At 42.1% G+C, this 22559-nt stretch overlaps 1 protein-coding gene across 1 annotated transcript, besides 3 other annotated features; it reads right to left on the bottom strand.

The window, feature by feature from the left end:
* Positions 1-1818: 1818 nt before the first annotated feature.
* SLC60A2 (solute carrier family 60 member 2) lies at positions 1819-22485 on the bottom strand. The gene is made up of 4 exons (NM_153369.4): positions 22097-22485; positions 19399-19567; positions 17878-17994; positions 1819-15948 (listed from the first exon to the last, which is right to left on the bottom strand). The coding sequence occupies exons 1-4, from the start codon at positions 22121-22123 to the stop codon at positions 14705-14707; spliced, it is 1557 nt and encodes a 518-aa protein (NP_699200.2). The 5' UTR covers positions 22124-22485; the 3' UTR covers positions 1819-14704.
* Positions 3729-3898: an enhancer, noted in NCBI's record as "experimental_87657 CRE fragment used in MPRA reporter constructs". NCBI's record gives its function as "activates a minimal promoter by MPRAs in K562 erythroleukemia cells, with activity observed for both the introgressed and non-introgressed 6:111599214 variant alleles {active_cell/tissue: K562}" and the evidence as "EXISTENCE:reporter gene assay evidence [ECO:0000049][PMID:34662402]".
* Positions 17624-17918: a silencer, noted in NCBI's record as "tiled region #12211; HepG2 Repressive non-DNase unmatched - State 15:Elon". NCBI's record gives its function as "represses a minimal TATA promoter and a strong SV40 promoter by Sharpr-MPRA in HepG2 cells {active_cell/tissue: HepG2}" and the evidence as "EXISTENCE:reporter gene assay evidence [ECO:0000049][PMID:27701403]".
* Positions 22376-22455: an enhancer, noted in NCBI's record as "active region_24942". NCBI's record gives its function as "activates an Ori minimal core promoter by ATAC-STARR-seq in GM12878 lymphoblastoid cells {active_cell/tissue: GM12878}" and the evidence as "EXISTENCE:reporter gene assay evidence [ECO:0000049][PMID:35858748]".

Here is a 22559-nt window from a genome sequence, read left to right as displayed (position 1 = left end):
CCACAGAATGGGAGAAAATACTTGCAAACTACCCATCTGGCCAGGCACGATGGCTCACGCCTGTAATCCCAACACTTTGGGAGGCCGAGGTGGGCAGATCACTTGAGGTCAGGAGTTTGAGACCAGGCTGGCCAACATGGTAAAACCCCGTCTCTACTAAAAATACAAAAATTAGCCGGGCGTGGTGGCACATGTCTATAGTCCCAGCCACTAGGGAAGCTGAGGCAGGAGAATCGCTTGAACCTGGGAGGCAGAGGTTGCAGTGAGCTGAAATCGTGCCACTGCACACCAACCTGGGTGACACTGAGACCCCGTCTCAAAAGCAAACAAAAGCAAACAAAAAAAACATACCCATCTCACAAGGGATTAACAATCAGAATACATTTGGAATTCAACAATTCAATAGCAAAAACACACAACAACAAACCAAGTAATCTGATTTTTACGTAAGCAAAAGATCTGAATAGATCTTTTTTTTTTTTGAGATGGAGTTTCACTCTTGTTACCCAGGCTGGAGTGCAATGGCGTGATCTAGGCTCACTGCAACCTCTGCCTCCCGGGTTCAAGCACTTCTCCTGCCTCAGCCTCCCTAGTAGCTGGGATTACAGGCGACCACCACCACACCCAGCTGATTTTTTTTATTTTTAGTAGAGATGGGGTTTCACTACGTTGGCCAGGCTGGTCTCAAATCTCTGACCTTAGGCGATACACCCGCCTCAGCCTCCCAAAATGCCTGGATTACAGGCGCGAGCCACCACGGCCGGCTGAATAAACATTTGTCAAAAGAAGACATACTAGTGGCCAACATGTAAATGAAAAATGTTCTGGATAAACAGAAACTGATTATAAAACAAAAAACAAAAAAAAAAAAAGAAAAAAGAAAATGCCTGACATCACTCATCATCGGTAAAATGCAATCAAAACCACGAGATATCACCTCACCCCCATTAGAATGGCTATAATCAAAAGAACAGAAAATAAAGAGATGCTGGCCAGGATGTGGAGAAAGTGGAATGCTCCTACACTGTTGGAGAAATGTAAATTAGTACAGCCACCACATAAAACAGTATGGAGATTCCTCAAAAAACTAAAAATAGAACTACCATATGATACAGCAATTCCACTGCTGGGTGTATATCCAAAGGAAAGGAGATTGGTGTATCAGAGAGACAGCTGCACTCCCATGTTTATTGCAGCAATTCACAATGACCACATATGGAATCAACCTAAGTGTTCTTCAACGGATGAATGGATAAAGAAAGTGTGGTATATACACTATGAAATATTATTCAGCCATAATAAAATGAAATCCTATCATCTGCAGCAACACGGATGAAACTGAAGGACACTATGTTAAGGGAGTTATTTCACTTAACAGAAAGACAAATATTCCATGTTCTCACTTAGATGTGGGAGCTAAAAAATTAATCTCATGGAGGTAGTGAGTAGAATAATAATTACCAGAGGCTGGGAAGGGTAGGGGACAGAGCAGAGGGCAGCAGGTTGGTTAGCAAATACAAAAATACAGTTAGACAGAAGGAATAAGTTCTAGTGTTTGATAGCACAGTAGAGTGACTACAGTTAACACTAGTTTATTGTATATTTCAAAATAGCTACAGGAGAAGATGTGAAATGTTCCCAACACAAAGAAATGATAAACATTTGAGGTGATGGATATCCCAACTACCCTGATTTGCTCATTACACACTGTATGCATGTATCGAATTATCACAGGGAACCCATAATTATGCATAGCTATTATGTATCAATTCAAAAATCAGTGAAACAACTGAAACATGAATCTTAAACCAACATCACTATTGTTATCAATATTTTATTCAAACAAGTTTTTATATGGTACAAAGCTATGTAAACAGTGAGTAGTCTATTTTTTTTGTTTGAGATGGAGTCTCACTCATGCAGTGGTGTGATCATGGCTCACTGCAGTGTTGAACTCCTCGGCTCAAGGTATCCTCCCGCCTTGGCCTCCCAAAGCACTGAGATTACAGGTGTGAGCCACCACGCCCAGCCTAGGTGAGTAGTCTTAAATTCAGATGTAATAAACCTGCAAGATCATTCCTACTCTGTTAAGCCCCCCAAATCAAAATTGACTGGTGAAAACCTGCCTAGAAGGGCAACCTCCAAAAGATCTGAGCTTTTGTTTTAGGAAGGACTTCAAATAACAGCAATATTTCCTGCACTGGACCAAGCAGCAGTGGAGTGAATAGAAAACATGAGATCTCTTCCTCTCCAGTTTTCCTTTAAGAAAGTGCACAGGCTAGGCGCGGTGGCTCATGCCTGTAATCTCAGCACTTTGGGAGGCCGAGGTGGGCGGATCACGAGGTCAAGAGATCAAGACCATCCTGGCTAACGTGGTGAAACCCCGTCTCTACTAGAAATACAAAAAATTAGCTGGGCACAGTGGTGGGCGCCTGTAGTCCCAGCTACTCAGGAGAATGGCGTGAACCCGGGAGGTGAAGTTTGCAGTGAGCTGAGATAGCGCCACTGCACTCCAGCCTGGGCAATAGAGCGAGACTCTGTCTCAAAAAAAAAAAAAAGAAAGAAAGAAAGTGCACAGAATTTCAAGGATCTACAAAAGTGGCATAACTTAATCAATCTGTAAGTAAGCCTAAGAAAAAACCACGGTCATTAGTAGAGGATCCAGTTTTGTGCACTGATCAAAGCAGTGGTTCTCAATCTTGGCTGCACATTACAATTACGGGGGATTGGGGAGGAGGAGTTACTTTTTTAAATATCCATACTCAGGCTCCACTCCAGACCAAATTGGTATTTAAGTTAAAATGCTGGGCATCAGTCATTTTTAAACACTGCCAGGTGATTCTAACAGCAGCCAGGTTTGAAAACCACTGGAGCAAAGGTTAATCACTTGGGCAGAGGACAAGAACACATTTTGCAATCACGTTTTTCCCTTGGGTCCTCTTTCCTTCTGGAGCTTATGAATTCTGGAGGGTGTAGAAGCAAAATGTCACTTTCCCTTGCTTCAGTAAGACTAAGAACTTCCTATATCATTCTATTAGTCTGTTTTCATGCTGTTGATAAAGACAGACCTGAGATTAGGTAATTTACAAAAGAGGTTTATTGGACTTACAGTTCCACATGGCTGGGGAGGCTTCACAATCATGGCGGAAGGCAAGGAGCAGCAAATCACATCTTATATAGATGGCAGCAGGCAAAATGAGGGCTTGTGCAGGAAAACTCCCTCTTATAATAACCAAAAGATCTCGTGAGACTTCCTCACTATCACAAGAACAGCACGGGAAAGACTTGCCCCCATGATTTAGTTACCTCCCACCAGGTCCCTCCAACAACACATGGGAATTCAAGATGAGATTTGGGTGGGGACACAGCCAAACTATATCAATCACCATCAGAAAAGAAAGACGTTGCACCCTGAGACAAAACAAAAATGATAGGGTCATCTAACTGTTGATGATCTAAAAAACAATAAAACCTTGAATGTTTCCCATAAACCTGGACTCCCTAAGAAATTTTATCCTTGGTTTTTCCTGTACTACATCTGAAGATTTGCCATAACCTTTATGAATACAATAATTACATGAGGCAGTTACTGTTTTTCACCGTGAACAGTCTAATGCAAACTCAGAAACCTTGGCAGTTTTTAATTTTTTCCTTCAAATACTTACGTTTTTTATTAGGCAAGCCAGTCATTCTCTTGCTCTCTTTGCAGGTAAACTTTTCCTTTTCTAAATGCTTCTGTCTCTGAGTATTTCTTCAACAAGGGTAAAGATTCATAGAGTGCTTGGACACAGAACTGGATACTCTGCTCCTGGGGGCAGAGTTCACTGCAAGTGATAAGGGAAAGAGCTGAGAAATGAGAACCTGCTCTGTCAGCCCAAGGGTCTTTGGAGCTGTAATCCAAGATCTAGTTTGACCATAAATATATTCTCTTGGCTGGACTGAATAAATCTCAAAAGTTGGTGTCAGATTCCTTTGTTGTAGGCTTCCTAAGCCTTCTTGCCTATATTCACCTCAACTACACTGTGCCGAGTAATTTCTACAAAATTCTAAATCAAAAATTACCCCAAAGACATAGACAAGTACTAGAAATGAACAAACAAAAACACACACCAAGGAACCAAGAGTTTAGCTACTTTCCTTTTCTAAAACTGGGTAAAACCTATTACAATAAGAGTTACTGGCTCTTCCGCTGATAGAAATTTTGTCATGGCAAATTTTACTTAAAATAGAAAAACATAAGCTTGGTGAAGGCAAGGATCTCATCTGCCTTCTCCTATTATATTCCCAGGGCCCTGGTTACTGAACATGGTAAATGCTCAGTAAATATCTGTTAGATAACTGAAATGCATGAATTTGGAAAACTTTCTGGTCCGCACAGATGAGAACTGTAATAATATCTCTTGCAAACTGGGACTCCTCTTAGAGCTCACTCAAGTAGAAATCTTACCCTCTTAGGAGAAAGCTTTCTTTCTTGGTAAAAATCAAACAATCCACAAACCTTGTCTAACACGCTCTTCCAAAAAAGTCTGCAATTTGGTGTGATTTTGTTTTTCCAGTTCTGATGCAGATGAACCAGGCCATCCATCCCAGGACCTGCCAATTTTCATCCCATTCAGGTATCGATTACCAATATTTATGAAGCCTAGCACTTCTCTGGTACAGAGCAGACAGTGGACATTCCCTTTTGATGATAACAGCTCCTGCATGCAGAGTGGTGGGAGTAGGAGGGTAGAAGTAGCCACTTTCTGGATGGGAGCAATGTCATCAACCCAAAGGGAACCCCTTCATAGGCTAACCAGCAACTCCTGAGGCAAGGCCCAATAAGGGCAATGGCATCTACTCAAGTCAAACAGGTTTCCTCCGGAATCTGGACCAGAGATACACAGAGGAACTCCTGAGGCAAGGCCCAATAAGGGCAATGGCATCTATTCAAGTCAAACAGGTTTCCTCTGGAATCTGGACCAGAGATATATAGAAGATGGGCCAGGAATGCAGAAAACGAGTGGTCCCAAGGAGGGGCAGAACTGCTGTGAGAGAGGCAGAGAGCAGCCCATTTATCGTTCTCAGACCACACACCTTCTGGTTCCAAGGTGGTTCAGAGGGATCTCTGTAAACGAATGAGCACAAAACACAGAACCATTCATTTGGCAGAAAACTGAGATCAAAGCTGTACCTGCTACTGCAAGGACAAAAAAGAAAGTTCATTAATACTTAGTCTACAGAGCCTCACATGCAGTAAGCCCTCAAGCACTTGTGCAATGACTGAACAAAAATTGCAAGCAGAGATAACAAAACTTTGAGGTAGTTGCCCAACATAACTTTTCTTTGAGTTCACTTATTCAGTACATGGGTGCTACTGATATGATCATAATGCGCCTAAAGTCTGAGATAATACCTTAAAAGTATGTGTTTATTCTCTTCCTAAAGCTACTCTCTTCTGGAAAAACTTGATTAAGAAAAAAATCTAAGACAAAAAACACAAACACAACAAAATATTAAAAATAGAATTACCATAAGATCCAGCAATTCCACTTATGGGTATATATCTCAAAAGAACTGAAAACAAGATCTCAAAGACACAGTTGTACACCCACATTCACAGCAGCGTATTAACAACAGCCAAAATGTAGAAGCAACACAAATGTCCACTGACAGATGAATAAACAAAATATAGTATGTATATACAATGGTGTATCATAGACTTAAAAAGGAAAGAAATTCTAACACATGCTACAACAAGGATGATCCTTGAAGACATTATGTTAAGGGAAAGAAGCTAGTAATGAAAGGACAAAAACTGTATGATCCCACTTATATGAAGTACTCTGAGCAGTCAAATTCATAGACAAAGTAGAATGGTGGTTGACAAGGGCTGGGATGGGGGCGTAGAATGGCAGTTACTGTTTAACAGCACAGAGTTTCAGTTTTGCAAGGTAAAAAACGTTCTGTGGATGAGTGGAAGTGATGGTTGTAAGACAATGTGAATATACTTAATGCCACTGAACTGTACAATTTAAAATGTTAAAAGATACATTTTTCCATTAAGTATATTTTATCAAAATTAAATAATTTTTATTGGAAAAGCATCGTATAATCTCAACAAGTTGTTCTGAGCTGACCGGGCACAGTGGCTCACACCTGTAATCGCAGCACTTTGGGAGGCCGAGGTGGGTGGATCACAAGGTCAGCAGTTCAAGACCAGCCTGACCAACATTGTGAAACCCTGTTTTTACTAAAAATACAAAAATTAGCTGGGCGTGGTGGTGCACACCTGTAATCCCAGCTACTCGGGAGGCTGGGGCAGGAGAATCACTTAAACCCAGGAGCTGGAGGTTGCAGTGAGCCAAGATCATGCCATTGCACTCCAGCCTGGGTGACAGAGCAAGACTCCATATTAAAAAAAAAAAAAAAAAAGTTGTTCTGAGCTAAAAGCCAGCCCCTTATGCTACTCATGTCATCTAACTTCAAAACATTCCTCCAGGACACTGGTTAACTAACTCATAACCAAATGTATCAAAACCAAGCTGCAATAAATTTACAGAATCTATTAAACACATTCTGCAATTAAAAATCAAAGCAAACGAAGACATAAAAGCAATATATAAGAATAGTCACAGAGTGGGGTATCGTGGCTTACACCTGTAATCCTAGCTGAGGTGGAAGGATTGCTTGAAGCCAGGAATTTAAGACTAGCCTGGGCAACGAAATGAGACCCTGTCTCTGAAAAAAAAAAAAAAGCCAGGTAAGGTGGCATGCAACTGTAGTCCCAGCTACTCAAGAGACTGAGGTGAGTGGATTGCTTGAGCCCAGGAGTCCGAAGCTGCAATGAGCTATGATCACACCACTGCACTCCATGATGGGCAATAGAGGGAGATCCTGTCTCTAAAAAAATTAAAATGAAATAAATAAACAGAAAAGGATAGTCACAGTGTAAGAACCAATCTTCTCTGAAATAATTTTAAAAAATAACACAAAAAACAGAGAATAAGACAAGACATAATTAAAATAAACACAGATCCCAGACAAAAACTGATGGAATTCATCACAACTAGACCAGCCTTACAAGAAATGCTTAATACATCTGAAGGCAAAAAGATGATAATCACCATCATGAAAACATACAAAAGCATAAAATGTACTAGTGTTATAGATACACAAAGGAGGAAGATAAAGAAAACTTATCTCCACAGAAAATCACAAAATCACAGTGATAAACATTGAGAGGAAAAAACAAAGGATATACAAAGCAATCAGAAAACAACTCACAAAATGACAAGAGCAAGTCTTCACCTGTCAATAACAGCCTTGAATGTAAACGGATTAAATTCCCCACCTAAAAGTTATAGAAAGACTGAATGGATTAAAATAAACAAAAAAACAAAAAACCCCATTACCCAACTGTATGCTGCCTGCAAAAAACTCACTTCACCCGTAAACACACATATGGACTGAAAGTGTAGGTATGGAAAAAGATACTCCACACAAAGCAAAACCAAAACCAGGCAAGAATAGCTATGCTTAGATAAAATAGACTATATCCAAAACTGTAAAAAGAGACAAAGAAAATCATTATATAATGATAAAGAGATCAATTCAAAAGGCTAAAACAACTGTAAATATATATGCACCGAACACCAGAGCACCAAAATAAATAAAGCCAATATTCTTATATTTCAAGGGGCTCTCACACCTGTAATCCCAGTACTTTGGGAGGCCAAAGTGGGAGGAATGCTTGAGCCCAGGAGTTTGAGACCAGCCTGCGCAACATAGTGAGACCTTGTCTCTAGAAATAATTTAAAAATTAGGCTAGGTACAGTGGCTCATGCCTGTAATTTCAGCACTTTGGGAGGTCAAGGTGGGAAGATCACTTGAGTGCAGTTCAAGACCTGCCTGGGAAACATACTGAGGCCCCACCTCTATTAAAGAAATAACAAATTAGCCATGGTGACACACACCTGTAGTTCCAACTACTCAAAAGGCTGAAGCAAGAGAATCACTTGAGCTCAGGAGGTCAAAACTACAGTGAGCCGTAATTGTGCCACTGCACTCCAGCCTGGGTAACAGAGTGAGACTCTGTCTCAAAAAACTAAAAAAATAAATGGGCACATAGACTCCAACTACAATAGTAGTTGGGGACTTCAGTCATCCAGTCTCAGCACTGGACAGATCATCTAGACAGAAAATCAACAAAGAAACATTAGATTTAGACCAACTGGGCCTAACAGACATTTACAGGACATTTCACCCAACAGCTACAGAATAAACATTCTTCTCATCAGCACATTCTCCAGGATAGACCACATGTTAAACAAAAAAAAAAAAAAAAACACAAATCTCAACTAATTTACAAGAATTAAAATCATATCAAGAATCTTTTCTGGCTGGACACAGTACCTCATACCTGTAATCCCAGCAGTTTGGGAGGCTGAGACGGGAGGATCGCCTGAGGCCAGGAATTCAAAACCAGCCTAGTCAACACAGTGAGACCCCATCTCTACAATAGAAAATAATAATAATAAGCATAGTGACACCTGTAATCCTAGTTGCTCAGAAGGCTGAGGCAGGGGACTGCTTGAGCCTAAAAGCTTGAGACTGCAGTGAGCCATGATTAGGCGACTGCACTCCAGCCTGAGCAACAGAGCAAGACCCTAACTCAAAAAACATATAATCTTTTCTGACCACAATATAATCTTTTCTGACCAAAATATAATCATTTCTGATCAAAATATCTTCTCTGACCCGAGGCAAGTGGATCACCTGAGGTCGGGAGTTCGAGACCAGCCTGGCTGACATGGTGAAACCCCGTCTCTACTAAAAACACAAAAATTGGCTGGGCATGGTGGTGGATGCCTGTAATCCCAGCTACTTGGGAGGCTGAGGCAGGAGAATCGCTTGAACCCAGGAGACAGAGGTTGCAGTGAGCCGGAATTGTGCCACTGCACTCCAGCCTGGGTGACAAGAGCAAGACTCTGTCTTAAAAAATATACACATATATATATACAGTTAGATAGAGATCGGGTGCGGTGGCTCACACCTGTAATCCCAGAACTTTGAGAGGTCAAGGTGGGTGGATCACTTGAGGTCAGGAGTTCGAGACCAGCCTGACCAACATGGTAAAACCCCATCTCTACTAAAAATACAAAAATTAGCCAGGAATGGTGACACATGCCTGTAATCCCAGCTACTTGGGTGGCTGAGGAATGAGAATGGCTTGAACCTGGGAGACAGAGGTTGCAGTGAGCAGAGATCGTGCCATTACACTGCAGCCTGGGCAACAAGAGTGAAACTTCATCTCAAAAAAAAAAAAAAAAAAATACAGTTAGAAGGAAGAAGTTCTAGTGTTCAACAGCACAGTAGGGTCACTATAGTTCAATAATCCAGTATATAACTGAAAACAGCTATAGCACAAGATGTGGAATTTTCCTAACACAAAGAAATTATAACACTTGAGATAATTAATATCCTAATTACCCTGCTTTGATCACTACACATTGTATGCATGTATCAAAATATCACAGGTGGGCTGGGCATGGTGGCTCACGCATGTAATCCCAGCACTTTGGGAGGCCTAGACAGGTGGATCACTTGAGGTCAGGAGTTTGAGACCAGCCTGGCCAACATGGCAAAACCCTGTCTCTACAAAAAATACAAAAATTAGCCAGGCATGGTTGCACAAGCCTGTAGTCCCAGCTACTTGGGAGGCTGAGGTAGGAGGACTGCTTGAGCCTGGGAGGTCAGGGCTGCAGTGAGCTGCGATCAGGCCACTTAAAAAATAAAAATAACTTTTAAGTAGCAGGATTGGGGACTGAGTGACACATTGCCATGATAAATCAGAAGTTCTGGTTATTTTAAATTTTTTAGACAGTCTCACTTTGTAACCCAGGCTGAAGTGCAGTAGCGTGATCTCAGCTTACTGTAAACTCTGCCTCCCAAGTTCAAGTGATTCTCGTGCCTCAGCCTCCCCAGAAGTGGGATTACAAATGCCTGCCACCACCACACCTGGCTAACTATTTGTACTTTTTTTTTTTTTTTTTTTTTTTTTTTTTTTAGTAGAGATGGGGTTTTGCCATGTTGGCCAGACTGGTCTCAAACTCCTGACCTCAAGTGATCCACCCACCTCAGCCTCCCAAAGTGCTGTGATTACAGGTGTGAGCCACCATGCCCAGCCAAAAGTTCTGGACATGAGAAAGCTATCCTGATTACTCAAGGAATCTACTGATCATCTCCCAATTAGGTTTTTTTAAAAAAATAAACTATAATTCTTCAAACTAATAACCAGTTCACCAACTGTAATGTCAATATACTTTAGACACAAAATTCAAGTTATTTCTGATACTTTATCTGATGGAGAATTTTTCTTTCCTTTTACCCTTTACTTAGGAAATTTGAGAAATGTAAGAACTTTTCTAGGTGCTTAGGATTATGGATTATACTTGTTCCTTATATTTTTGTGCCAAAATTTTATGTCTTTATTGTTTTTATAATAAAAAGTAATTTTTCAAAAGATTTTTCTTTTAAAAATAACAGAGTAATTGAAAAATACTCTCAAAATGTCCCTGGATTCTATTATAAAATACAAATAAACTCAAGCTGAAATTTACTTATTTCCCTCATATTCAACTGTATTTCCTTTTTTTTTTTTTTTTTTTTTTTTTTGAGATGGAGTCTCCCTCTGTTGCCCAGGCTGGAGTGTAGTGGCGCCATCTTGGCGTGAGCCACCGCACCCGGCCTCAACTGCATTTCAGTAGGTTAAAGGCACAGTGATAAGGGACATAAAATAGTGACAGAAAAAAAAGGCATAACTCTGCGATAACTCACCCACTGTCCAACAAACATAAAACAGATTCTCCTATATGAGATCTGTTGGCCTGGCTAATGGGGCATATTCCATCCCCATACTAGCTGTACCTGTAAGCACTTTCAGTGACCGCTGAAGCTTTTTTCCCCAGCTCATAGTTGAATATTTTTGTTTTTTTTTTTTGAGACAGTCTCGCTCTGTCACCCAGGCTGGAGTGCAGTGGCACCATCTCGGCTCACTGCAAGCTCCGCCTCCTGGGTTCACGCCATTCTCCTGCCTCAGCCTCCCGAGTAGCTGGGACTACAGGCACCCGCCACCACGCCCGCCCGGCTAATTTTTTGTATTTTTAGTAGAGATGGGGTTTCACCGTGTTAGCCAGGATGGTCTTGATCTCCTGACCTTGTGATCCGCCCACCTCGGCCTCCCAAAGTGCTGGGATTACAGGTGTGAGCCACCGCGCCCAGCCTTCCTGTTTTTTAGAGAAGGGGTCTCTTTTAAAAATTTTTTAGAGACAGAGGTCTCACTATATTGCCCAGGCTGGTCTCAAACTCCTGACCTCAGGAGATACTTCCACCCCAGCTTCCTGAGTAGCTGGGATTACAGGTGTGAGCCATCATGTCCTGCTCTTAGCTCAGTTTTTAGAACTTTTGAGAATCTCTATTCTGCAGGTACCCGAGTGTGGCAGGCATGCTCTAAGGTGATCCGCAATGAGTCACATCCCTGTTCTAGCCTCTACCCTTGAGTTTTGTTGGAACTCATACCTTGCTTCTAGACGCTAGAATATGGCAAAGGTGATGGGATGTTATTCCCATAATGACGTAATGTCATACAAGACTCATTTAGAGATTCTCCTGCTTGCTTTGAAGAAACTGCCATGTTGTGAGAGGCATCTGTGAGAAGGCCACATGGCAAGAACTGTGGGAGGCCTCTCGAAGCTGAGTGGTGCCCAGCTGACAGTCAGCAAGAAACACGTACCTCAGTCTACATAGGTAAGGTCCTGTACTGAAGCGGCCCTGTACAGGCCGCTTCAGTACAGCCTGTACAGACATTACCAAATGTCTATTGTTTTAAGGTGTTCAATGTGTGGTACTGTGTTACCCAGCAATAGAACACTTGGGTATATTGGTTACTTAGGTATCAGCAGACACTTAGCTAAGAACTGATCAGCAGGATAAATGCTAATTCTTAGAATTGTACTAAGTCTTTTCCTTCCAATATGGAACTTTAACAATGCCCTATGATCTCATGACGATTCACATGTTGGTGTGTGGAAACATAGTGAATTTTCCAGAGTAGATTTTGAGATTTTCTGCCATGTTCTTATCATCATCCTTCTCTCCCTGAGCTGCATCTTCTACCCTGTAACAGTAAATGCTGAAGGTGGAATTCCTATTCTAGCAAGCCTCCTAGCTGCCAAGTAACTGCTACTGCCTAGATTCCAACAACCTGAGAAAAGGCAGTAAGTGAAGCAGAAGTAATTTCCAAGTTCTAACTGAGGGAAATTTACACTATAAAAAGAGCAAAAGGGCTGGGCACAGTGGCTCATGCCTGTAATCTCAACACTTTGGGAGGCTGAGGTGGGCAGATCACTTGAGATCAGGAGTTTGAGATCAGCCTAGGTAACATGATGAAACCCCCTCTCTACTAAAAACACAAAAATTAGCTGGGCATGGTGGCGCATGCCTGTAATCCCAGCTACTCAGGAGGCCGAGGCAGAAGAATCGCTTGAACCAGGGAGGCAGAGGTTGCAGTGAGCTGAGATCACGTCATTGCACTCCAGCCTGAGTGACAGAGTGAGACACCATCCCCCACCCCTAATAAATAAATAAAAATAAAAAGAGCAAGAAGGTTTTTACCATTAACTTCTCCACCGCCATCTCCAAAGCTGTTAGGTTATTACATGAACCAAGACTGTGGCAGGCATATAAGGTGAATGGGCGGGCAGTGGTCAAGAAAGACACTGTATTTTACTTGAGACAAAACAATGGCAAATTTATAGAAATTAAGTAAGAGAAAGCAAGCCTACTCCAATCAGGTAGAAAGGAGATGTTATTCAGCAAAAAATTGGAGGAAGTAAACAAAATTTCATCAATTCTTGTCATTTTTCAAAGGATCACCTGCACCAATTCTGCCACATATATATGAAGTACCCTTTCTGATCCTTGACTCCTAGGCTACCCAGTCACCTTCTAACTGGTTTCCCAGGTATTTCAGACTCAGGAAAGAGAAACCCTGGATCGGTGACACAAGTATTCCAATCACTGGAAAAGACTATGCCTCACTGTAAATTACACTTGCAGCGTGACCTACGGTAACTACGATATGATTACCACACAGACCTGGTGAAGAGCTAATCTCGAGCAAGGCTCAGACCCAGCCTCTGTTACTGAGGTAGGCAAAGGACCTCGAAAGACCCCATCTACAGCCCTACTACTAATCTAATAACACTGAAACAGTTCTTAAAATTAGAACATAGTGTCTCCAAATTCCACTTGAACATAGAATATTAGCATATAAAAATAACTTATTTTTAAAATGTCTGTAAAGATACTATCATAATTGAATGAATTACTGTATTTCACTGAATCTAAGCCACTGATTGTAAAACACATTATTTTATATATACATATGGGAAAAAACTGTCCATTAAACTTTGTCACAATGTTAAACGATCACTGATTGTAAGACACATTCTGATTTCAGATATGTTAACAGTATGGGGGTAAAAAGTGCAACTTAGAATCAATGAAATGCAGTACTAAAAAATATATTCTTCAGGTAATTATTCAAATAAGGTATTAAACATTAAGTACATTAAATTGACATGTAATCATTTATCATTAGCACATTCTTAAAGCTATTTATCATTTTGGTTTCACTTCTCATTTGAAATGAAGAACATGCTGTCACTTGTACTAATTTCTAGCAGACATTTTGCACAAACTTTAAAACTTACAGATTCCCAATTTGGAAATCATCTCATTTTCATTTCTAGAATCACAGATCAGGAGGCGAGATAAACAAGGCCTACGTTAAGTGACAGAGTGCAGGGCTAGAAGAAGTCAAGGCTTGAAGCCCGACCCCTTGGGCCCTGTTCTGTGTTCTCTTCATTGAAATTAGAAATCAAATGAGTCATTACATTCTTTGATCCAACCCTACAGATAAGGTAAAGCAATTAATAAAAATACCTCTCCATTTCTTTTTTGAGACGGAGTCTAGATGTCGCCCAGGCTGGAGTACGGTGTGGCATGATCTCGGCTCACTGCAAGCTCCACCTCCCGGGTTCACGCCATTCTCCTGCCTCAGCCTCCCAAGTAGCTGGGACTACAGGTGCCTGCCACCACGCCTGGCTAATTTTTTGTATTTTTAGTAGAGACAGGGTTTCACTGTGTTAGCCAGGATGGTCTCGATCTCCTGACCTCGTGATCTGCCCGTCTCGGCCTCCCAAAGTGCTGGGATTACAGGCTTTAGCCACTGCACCCGGCCCATTTCTCTTTTATGAAACTATTCTCCTCAACTTTCCTGGAAAAATATTGATACCTGATAATTTGTTCAACCAATCAATTCAACTCCTACATGGTCTCATTCTGAGAATACCCCCCTTCTCAAAAACAATGCCTTCTTTGGGTGCTCTGAGGGGTGGAGACCATAAAATATTTCCTAATCAGTCACATGTCAAATGATAGCGTTATAACAAGATCCTATTGTACGTGTATGAGACCATTTGGTTATTTATGGAAGACTCTGGGAATTACAGAACATTTCAAAAATTTTTAGCATTTGCTATAATATGGACCTAAAAATTTTAATCCCCAAAGCATGGTGAAATTCTGCTAATGCTCTGCTCTGAATGGCGTCCTTAGAAGTGGCAGTTATTCAAAGATGTCAGTGAGTAATCCATCTTCTCTAAACGTTAGTCCCTTTTGTCCTGGTTTCTGGCAAGTGCTTCACATGGGCACTGCCAGTATTAAAAGGAGAAGACTCAAACACCAGTGCATTTGATGGGTATTGATTATAGACTTCAGCTGTGGGCTCCGTCAGACTACTTCTAGATGTCTCTATTATAGAATGCCTCATTGTATCATTCGTTTCAATCATTTCAAAATCCATTTCATTCCATTTTTCTGCATCCTCCTCTTCATTCTCTTCCTCATATTCATTTAGCCCGGAGCTAGAGAGCAGAGCTTTCTGGTCCTCACTCTTTCTGTCTTCTTTTCGCTGGCGATCAAGAGGTGAAGTGGCTAATTTATATAGCACAGGAAATAAAATACCAGTAGCTATTGATGCTCCCAAAGAGGTATACAGAACTACAGGCAAATCAGGGTATTTTCCTTGAAGAATTCCAATGACTGCAGGAATAGCCATTTCTCCCAGGGAAGCACCAATTACAAAAAATGCTGCAGATTTCCCATGGATGGTCGTGTACTGCTCAATCCAAGAAACACCACTCGGAAATGTGGTTGCCATTGAAGCCCCATACACTGAAGTTGCTATCCAGAGACAAATTGGGTTCTTGTCAAAAAGCACCAGAAATAAAGATGAAGTCAGGCTGCCAATGTTGCTCAACACAATCATGGTTCCAGGCTGTAAACAGGTAGCAAAAAAGATTGCCAGGCCCCTGCAGGCTGCAAATGTCCCCCAGAAGATGGAGTTCAACCCAGCAGCTTCACTTTCTTTCATGCCAGCATGGGTGGTTGCAAATGAGAAAACATAAGAGCCATATGTTACCTCAGCTCCAACATAAAAAAAGAAGAACAGAAAAAGGAGACAAAGAAGGGCGTTGTGATATTTTGCTCTTCGAAATGTCTCAGCAGATGCTCTTGCTTTTTCTTGCTTTGAGCTATTCTTTAAAAACAGACAAAAAAAAATGACAGAAACTAAGAACATGTAAGTACCGATAACAGCATAAGCCCACAGTAAATTCTTATCATTAGGTACTCCAAACAGAGCTTCTGAGTCAGCATCAGATGATTGGTTGAGTGCAGGATGGAAGTCAGACTCTGTGTGGTTTTCAGCAGACGCTGTCGGACCCAAAGCCAGTTTAGCTAGCAGTGGAGCCAAAAAGGCACCCAAGGCAAAAGAGAAGTGTAAGGCCTGCATATGTGGGGCTCCTTTGTCCCCCCAAATAGCCAAGATAAGGACGTTACCACCTGTCGATGAAAGATGGGAAAAATTATTTAAGTTAAACAGTTACTTACTTATTAAAAAAAAAAGTTCACTTATCAGAAAGGGGGTGAGTCTATTTTACATAGCACAAGCATTATAATATTCTAATTATCAAACATTGCAACTAAATCAATTCTGAGAAAGGAATTCTAACCCACTACCACCAGACAACTCTAAGCATTATAACATCACATACTCACAAATCGAATTCTACAGTCTAGTAGACTACTACCTCCTAGAACCAAGCACATTAGCAAGACGCTTTTTATAATACAGTTCTAACATCAGACTGCAGAAGAAATATTTATATATTAATATTTTAAATATATATTTAAAAGGCAAAATTTTATCATCAGATAGTAGCCAAATTACCAAAGCTTTCTGTACTTGCTGTTGGTAGCCACTTGAGGAAAATTACTTACTTATGTATGTAACAGATGCAAAACACACGTCCAGGAACCTGAATAGCCAGGATTCTGGTATGCCCATTAGAGGAAACAAGGACACCGTTTAGCATCTGAATTTATACTGTCTAAACGTCTAGGAGGAGAAAGGCAAGAAGCAGCACATCTTGAGCTATCTTCTTTTTTTTCAACAGATATTTTCAGATAAATATATAATTCTACCCTATAATTTCATAACAAAATTAACCCTAAAGTAAAATAAAATATTTCCTCAACAGATCACGTAACAGCAAAGCAGGGAAGGGAGGGGTAGAAAGCTGGTTTTAGGAGTAAACAGATGTCATCTATGTTATTTAGTAGGTTTTCTGTTTGTTTGTTTTTGAGACCCTGGCTGGAGTGCAATGGCACAATCGTGGCTCTCTGCAACCTCCACCTCCTGGGTTCAAGCAATTCTCCAGCCTCAGCCTCCTGAGTAGCTGGGATTACAGGCACGCGCCACCATGCCTGGCTCATTTTATATTTTTAGTAGAGACGCGGTTTCTCCATATTGGTCAGGCTGGTCTTGAACTCCTGACCTCAGGTGATCTGCCCGACACAGCCTCCCAAAGTGCTAGGATTATAGGCGTAAGCCACCCCGCCGTTATTTAGTAGGTTTTTTTTTTTTTTTTGAGATGGAGTCTCACTCTGTCACCCAGGCTGAAGTGCAGTGGTGTGATCTCTGCTCACTGCAAGCTCCGCCTCCTGGGTTCATGCCATTCTCCTGCCTCAGCCTCCCGAGTAATTGGGACTACAGGCGCCCACCACCACACCCGGCTAATTTTTTGTATTTTTAGTAGAGATGAGGTTTCATTGTGTTAGCCAGGATGGTCTCGATCTCCTGACCTCGTGATCCACCCATCTCGGCCTCCCAAAGTGCTGGATTACAGGTGTGAGCCACCGCACCCGGCCTATTTAGTAAGTTTTAAAAGACATGATGATGATACGGGAAAGAATCTACTGCAGGAGGCCAGGAACTTTGAGGACAGAAAGAAAAAGAAAGAGCCTAGTCCACACTATGGATCTCTCTTGGCTTGGAAGTCAGGGTAAATGTCAAGTTGGATTGCTGCTTCTATGCTTTCTCAGCCAAATAACAGTTCCAAACTTGGTTTAACCTATTAAACCACCAATTCCTCCCATACTAGAGCAATAAAGTTCTACCCCAAGATGAAGGCCTATTCACCTGCACTGTAATTACCCACACAGGGGCCCTTCCCTGTTTGGACAATGTAAATCAATTATCTCTCATAGAACAAAATTCTTTAAGTTCATTTCAGAGTTGGCTGCTCAGAAACAGGCCCCCTAATTGGCAAGAATAGCTGCTAGAAGGGTGATTCATTCTGAGTGACTCACAACCAACTCAGTAGGTCTGTGTCATTTTAGGGGGCATTGCAAGTGACAGTTTAGTATCATCTGCTGTACTTCTTCTAGCAAGTCCCTACTCCCAGAGATGACGTTGAAGAGCTCACTAACCTGTATCCAGAATGCCAATTGAAACACCGAAGATAGACATCATGACAGTGAGTAATATTGCTGTCTTGCAAAAAGGAACAAGATAAAGACCAACGGTGGTAGCCGACATTGAGATTCCTGGGAAGGTAGAAACTCAGCTATAAAAAATAATATCCATGCAGTCATGGATCAAGTCAATATCATAAATGTCCAAACATGCAAAATCAGGTCAAATTTAAATTAGATAATGAGTAGATGAGAGTTTTTGCTTCTAAAAGTGATTATTTCATTTGAATCTTTTATAATCTTTATGGATTATGAAATATAAATAATTATAACACAAATACATTTAAAGCACTGCTAGTAATCAAACTGTAAATTATACCATAAGGCAAAGTTTTATACCAAAAGAGACAAGCCAAAACTAATTTAAATGATTCACATTTAAGAACCTAACAGGAATTTTTAGACATGAGGCAAAAAATTAAATAGACAAAAATAAAATGCAATTACTAGAGTAGTTTGTAATAAAATTTACTAAATAAATTAGTTTGGGAAATAGGGAGGAAAATACAAGAAATATGTTATTTCAACCCACTTTGGAAATAAGAGGGATTATTTATTAATTCCTTAACAATAACAAATTATTCTTGCTTCCAAAACAATTTTATCATATTAATCTAAATTTTCTCTAAATATTTCAATTTATTCAAAAAAAGTATATGCTAAAAGCTTTGCCAGCCCAGGCGTGGTGGCTCACACCTGTAATCCCAATACTCTGGGAGGCTGATCCTTTGAGCTCAGGAGTTCCAGACCAACCTGGGCAACATGGTGAAACCCCGGCTCTACTAAAAACACAAAAATTAATCAGGCATGGTGGCTCACACCTGTGGTCCCAGTTAATTGGAAGGCTGAGATGGGAGGATCGCTTGAGCCCAGGAGGGGGAGGTTGCAGTGAGCAGAGATCGCATCACTGCACTCCAGCCTGGGCAATAGAGGGAGAGGAGACCCTGTCTCAAAAAAAAAAAGCAGCTTTGCCATCTATTTCCAGGGTGAGACAGAGCACTCTGGGGTTGTCCAACGACAACATGGGGCAGCAGGAACAAAAACATAGCCTACATCAGTCCACCCAACCTCGCTTCCCCTCTTCATTCCCAATCCAGGGTGTAGCCTGGGCAGGTTCAAAGAGCTCATTCTGATCTGTGGTGACCCCAGGAAATCTGCCCTAAACCCTCTAAGCAGAGTTTTTTGGACAACCAGTGTGTGATCCAGGAGTGGTAGCTAAATTATAGTGGTTGGAAAGGCTAAGGATTGCTAAGACACTCTAGAGCTAATCTAAATTTCCAGAGGGACCCAGCACAGATACCCTCTAACTGTCAAGATGAAAGCAGGTACCAGGGAAACTCAACTGCCATTGAGGACACCTAAACACTACCCATTTCAGTGGCCAACCATTCTGCATGCTAGTATTTTCATATTTTCAAAGACAACTTGTAAATTCACTTGACAGTCATAAAGAAGCTAAAATTAGCATTTACTTACCCAAAAGTAAAAAATAATTCATGACATCGACAAGAAATCCACCAATCACAGAGCCACTCAAATATCCCAAGGCACGACCCACAAAAATGAAAGACAGACTACTGATATTTCGGTTCACGTTTGTTGCCAAATCTTGAAACGTGGGTCCCACTATAGCAACACTCAATCCCTAAAATTTAAAAAGACAAAAGTTTTTACTTATAATCATTAAAATAATGTCTAACTATGTGGTAGTTTCTTCCACTATAAAAAAAAAGGGGGGCGGAGGGTCTGGGATTTACAATGTAATGTAGGGAATTAGACTACTGTTTTTTTAGTTTTGACTAAAACTCTTATTTTTTTTTTGTTTTGACACCTCTCAGTTTTTAAAAAATTATTTTTTTGTTGCAATCCTGTTTCCTTTCTGAACAATACCTTTAAAAGACTATTCTGTATTAATAAAATGTAATATTAAAACTATTTTTGAAATGGTTTCGTACATTTTGAAATATATTACATGCACAAATAAGAATTTGGGTATTAAAAATTTAAATTGGCCGGGCACAGTAGCTCACGCCTGTAATCTCAGCACTTTGGGAGGCCGAAGCAGGCGGATCACGAGGTCAGGAGTTTGAGACCAGCGTGGCCAACACAGTGAAACCCCATCTCTACTAAAAATACAAAAATTAGCTGGGCATGGTGGTGGGCGCCTGTAGTCCCAGCTACTCGGGAGGCTGAGGCAGGAGAATCGCTTGAACACGGGATGCGGAGGTTGCAGTGAGCCGAGACTGCACCATTGCACTCCAGCCTGGGCGACAGAGCGAGACTCTGTCTCAGAAAGAATAAATTAATTAATTAAATTAAGTCAGGTGTGGTTGCTTACACCTGTAATCCCAGCAATCTGGAAGGGAGAGATGGTAGGACTGCTTGAGCTCAGGGTTTTGAGATCAACCTAGGCAACCCCATCTCTACAAAAATAAAAATGAAAAAAATCAGCCAGGCGTGGTGGCGCATGCCTGTAGTCCCAGTTACTAGGGAGGCTGAGATGGAAGGATCGCTTAAGCCCTGAGGTCGAGACTGTAGTGAGTTCTGACTGAGCCACTGGAAAACGTCAAAACCTTGATCAAAACATCAAAATATGATTCCTGTTTTTTATGTTGTTAAACAGCAATATTTCTGGATGCACATGGAGTCCTTCCCCTGAACTATACATATAAAACATACAGGAGATAAACAATTTAAATGTTTCTAAATCTACACTTTTCTTCCACGCCATCAGAATTAGTCAGTAAAGGTTGCTTAAAAAATATTACACGCCCAAGTACAGAATGACTTTAACAATAAAACTTTACTCAATGCAGTGTCAGCAAGAGGTAAGGATTACAATTGACTTTCAGAGGAAATTCATTGGACATTTAAAGAAAAAAATGTTTCCAATCAGTCTACATTTCCAGAATAACTGATTCTAATTGCCCTGCTCTGCTCTAAATGCATGGGGTGCGCCCCCTGCCCAACTCGTAACAGTCCAAGACCACGGACCACTATGGGCCCAGGTGCACAGCAAGCACCTCGTACTTCGAGAGAAGCCTGAGCACAGAATCTAATCAAATTAGTTCATGTCTTCAAAGGATTTACAACAGGACCGGACAAGTCAGTGACGACTCACCAAAAGTCTGAAGTGATTTCTTTCTTCACCCCTCCCCACCGCCCCCAATCAAAATACTCTAAGAAACAACTGTGGCTCAGAGTCCCTGAGATGGTAAGTGACCACACATGACTCTTGGGAGGACTCATCCTCTCAACTCCCCCAGGATCATAATTATCAAGTGATAAGGAGGAGGTTTCCGAAAAGTGAATTGAGTGGCGACCCAGGGGTTTGGCAAAAGGCGCCTCTAGGCTTGCCCTTTGCTCCAAGAAAAACATTTAAGAATCTAAAGGTTGGTTTTATTAATAAATAGGATGGTGGGCAGAGTAAAAGACATATTTCTGGCTCTATCACTTAACCAGCTGTGTGATCCAGAAAGTCACTTTCCCCTCCGGGCCTATTTCCTTATCTGCAAAATTAAGCGGTTGGCTGAATTTGGTCAGATCACCAGGAAGAAATTCCAGAAAAGTAGTTTTTCTGTGTAATAATTTGGGGGTTGAGTGGGTGGGTGCGGAGAGCAGCGGCCAAAGACCTGGTGAACCCCTCTTGCAACCTTCCCATCCGACGAAGGAGACGTAGGAAGGCTTGCCGGGCCGGGCGCCGTGGCTCACGCCGGTAATCCCAATACTTTGGGAGGCCGAGGTGGGCGGATCACCTGAGGTCAGGAGTTTGAAACCAGCCTGGCCAACATGGCGAAGCCCCGTCTCTACTAAAAATACAAAAATTAGCCGGGCTTAGTGGCAGGCGCCTGTAATCCCAGCTACTCGGGAGGCTGACGCAGGAGAATCGCTTGAACCCTGGGGGCAGAGGTTGCAGTGAGCCGAGATCGCACCACTGCACTCCAGCCTGGGCAACAGAGCGAGACTCCGTCAAAAAAAAAAAAAAAAAAAGCTTGCTGGAGCTGAAAGACGTATTCAGAAAATCTATTTCCTCCAAGATTAGAATTGTGCCCATTTTCTAGATGATGAAACTGAGGCCCAGTCAGATTAGGTAACGCGCCCAAGGTCAGTTTGCAAGTGGCGAAGGCAAGACTCGAACGCCCCGGCCTGGGAGTGTTGCAGCCCCGGCTCTCACCAGCCCCAGGAAGGAGGCACACAGCATCAAGGTGGTGAACCACCGCAGCTTGCTCCCGGTCCCACCGCTCTGCCAGGAGACCACCACCACCTCCGGCTCCGGCTCATTCTCCGCCGGGGCCTCCGCCTGCAGGAGCCGCTGCCCCGCAGCCGGGGGCCCGGCCCCACGGAGCTCCACCTCTAACTCCAGCTCGGCGGCTCCGGAGAAGTCGTCTTGCTGCCGCCGCGCTTCTCAGCAGAACTTCTGGAGCTCCGAGAAGAGCACTGGCCCCGACCCCAGGCACGGGTGTCCCTCCGGGCGCCACCTCCCAGCGGACCGCCCGGAACCGGGGCAGAGAAGAGGAACTTCGGCACGCCGCAGGTGTTCGTGGCAAAAGACGCTCGCTCTCCAGCAAGCAGGCGCATGCGCGGGTCACGTGGCGGAAATGTGGCCTCTCGCCAACCGCTATCGTGCCTCAAGCCGG

This window comes from Homo sapiens, chromosome 6 (genome assembly GCF_000001405.40).
Source record: "Homo sapiens chromosome 6, GRCh38.p14 Primary Assembly".
NCBI classification, from domain to species: domain Eukaryota; kingdom Metazoa; phylum Chordata; class Mammalia; order Primates; family Hominidae; genus Homo; species Homo sapiens.
This window is presented reverse-complemented; position numbering and strand designations above follow the sequence as displayed.

Coding starts and splice junctions, on each gene's coding strand:
- SLC60A2 (NM_153369.4), bottom strand. CDS start 22,123: ATGCTGTGTGCCTCCTTCCTGGGGCTG. Junction 19,568..22,096: donor GTGCCTCCTTCCTGGGGCTG/GTGAGAGCCGGG, acceptor TTTAAATTTTAG/GGATTGAGTGTTGCTATAGT. Junction 15,949..17,877: donor AATTGGCATTCTGGATACAG/GTTAGTGAGCTC, acceptor TTTCATCGACAG/GTGGTAACGTCCTTATCTTG.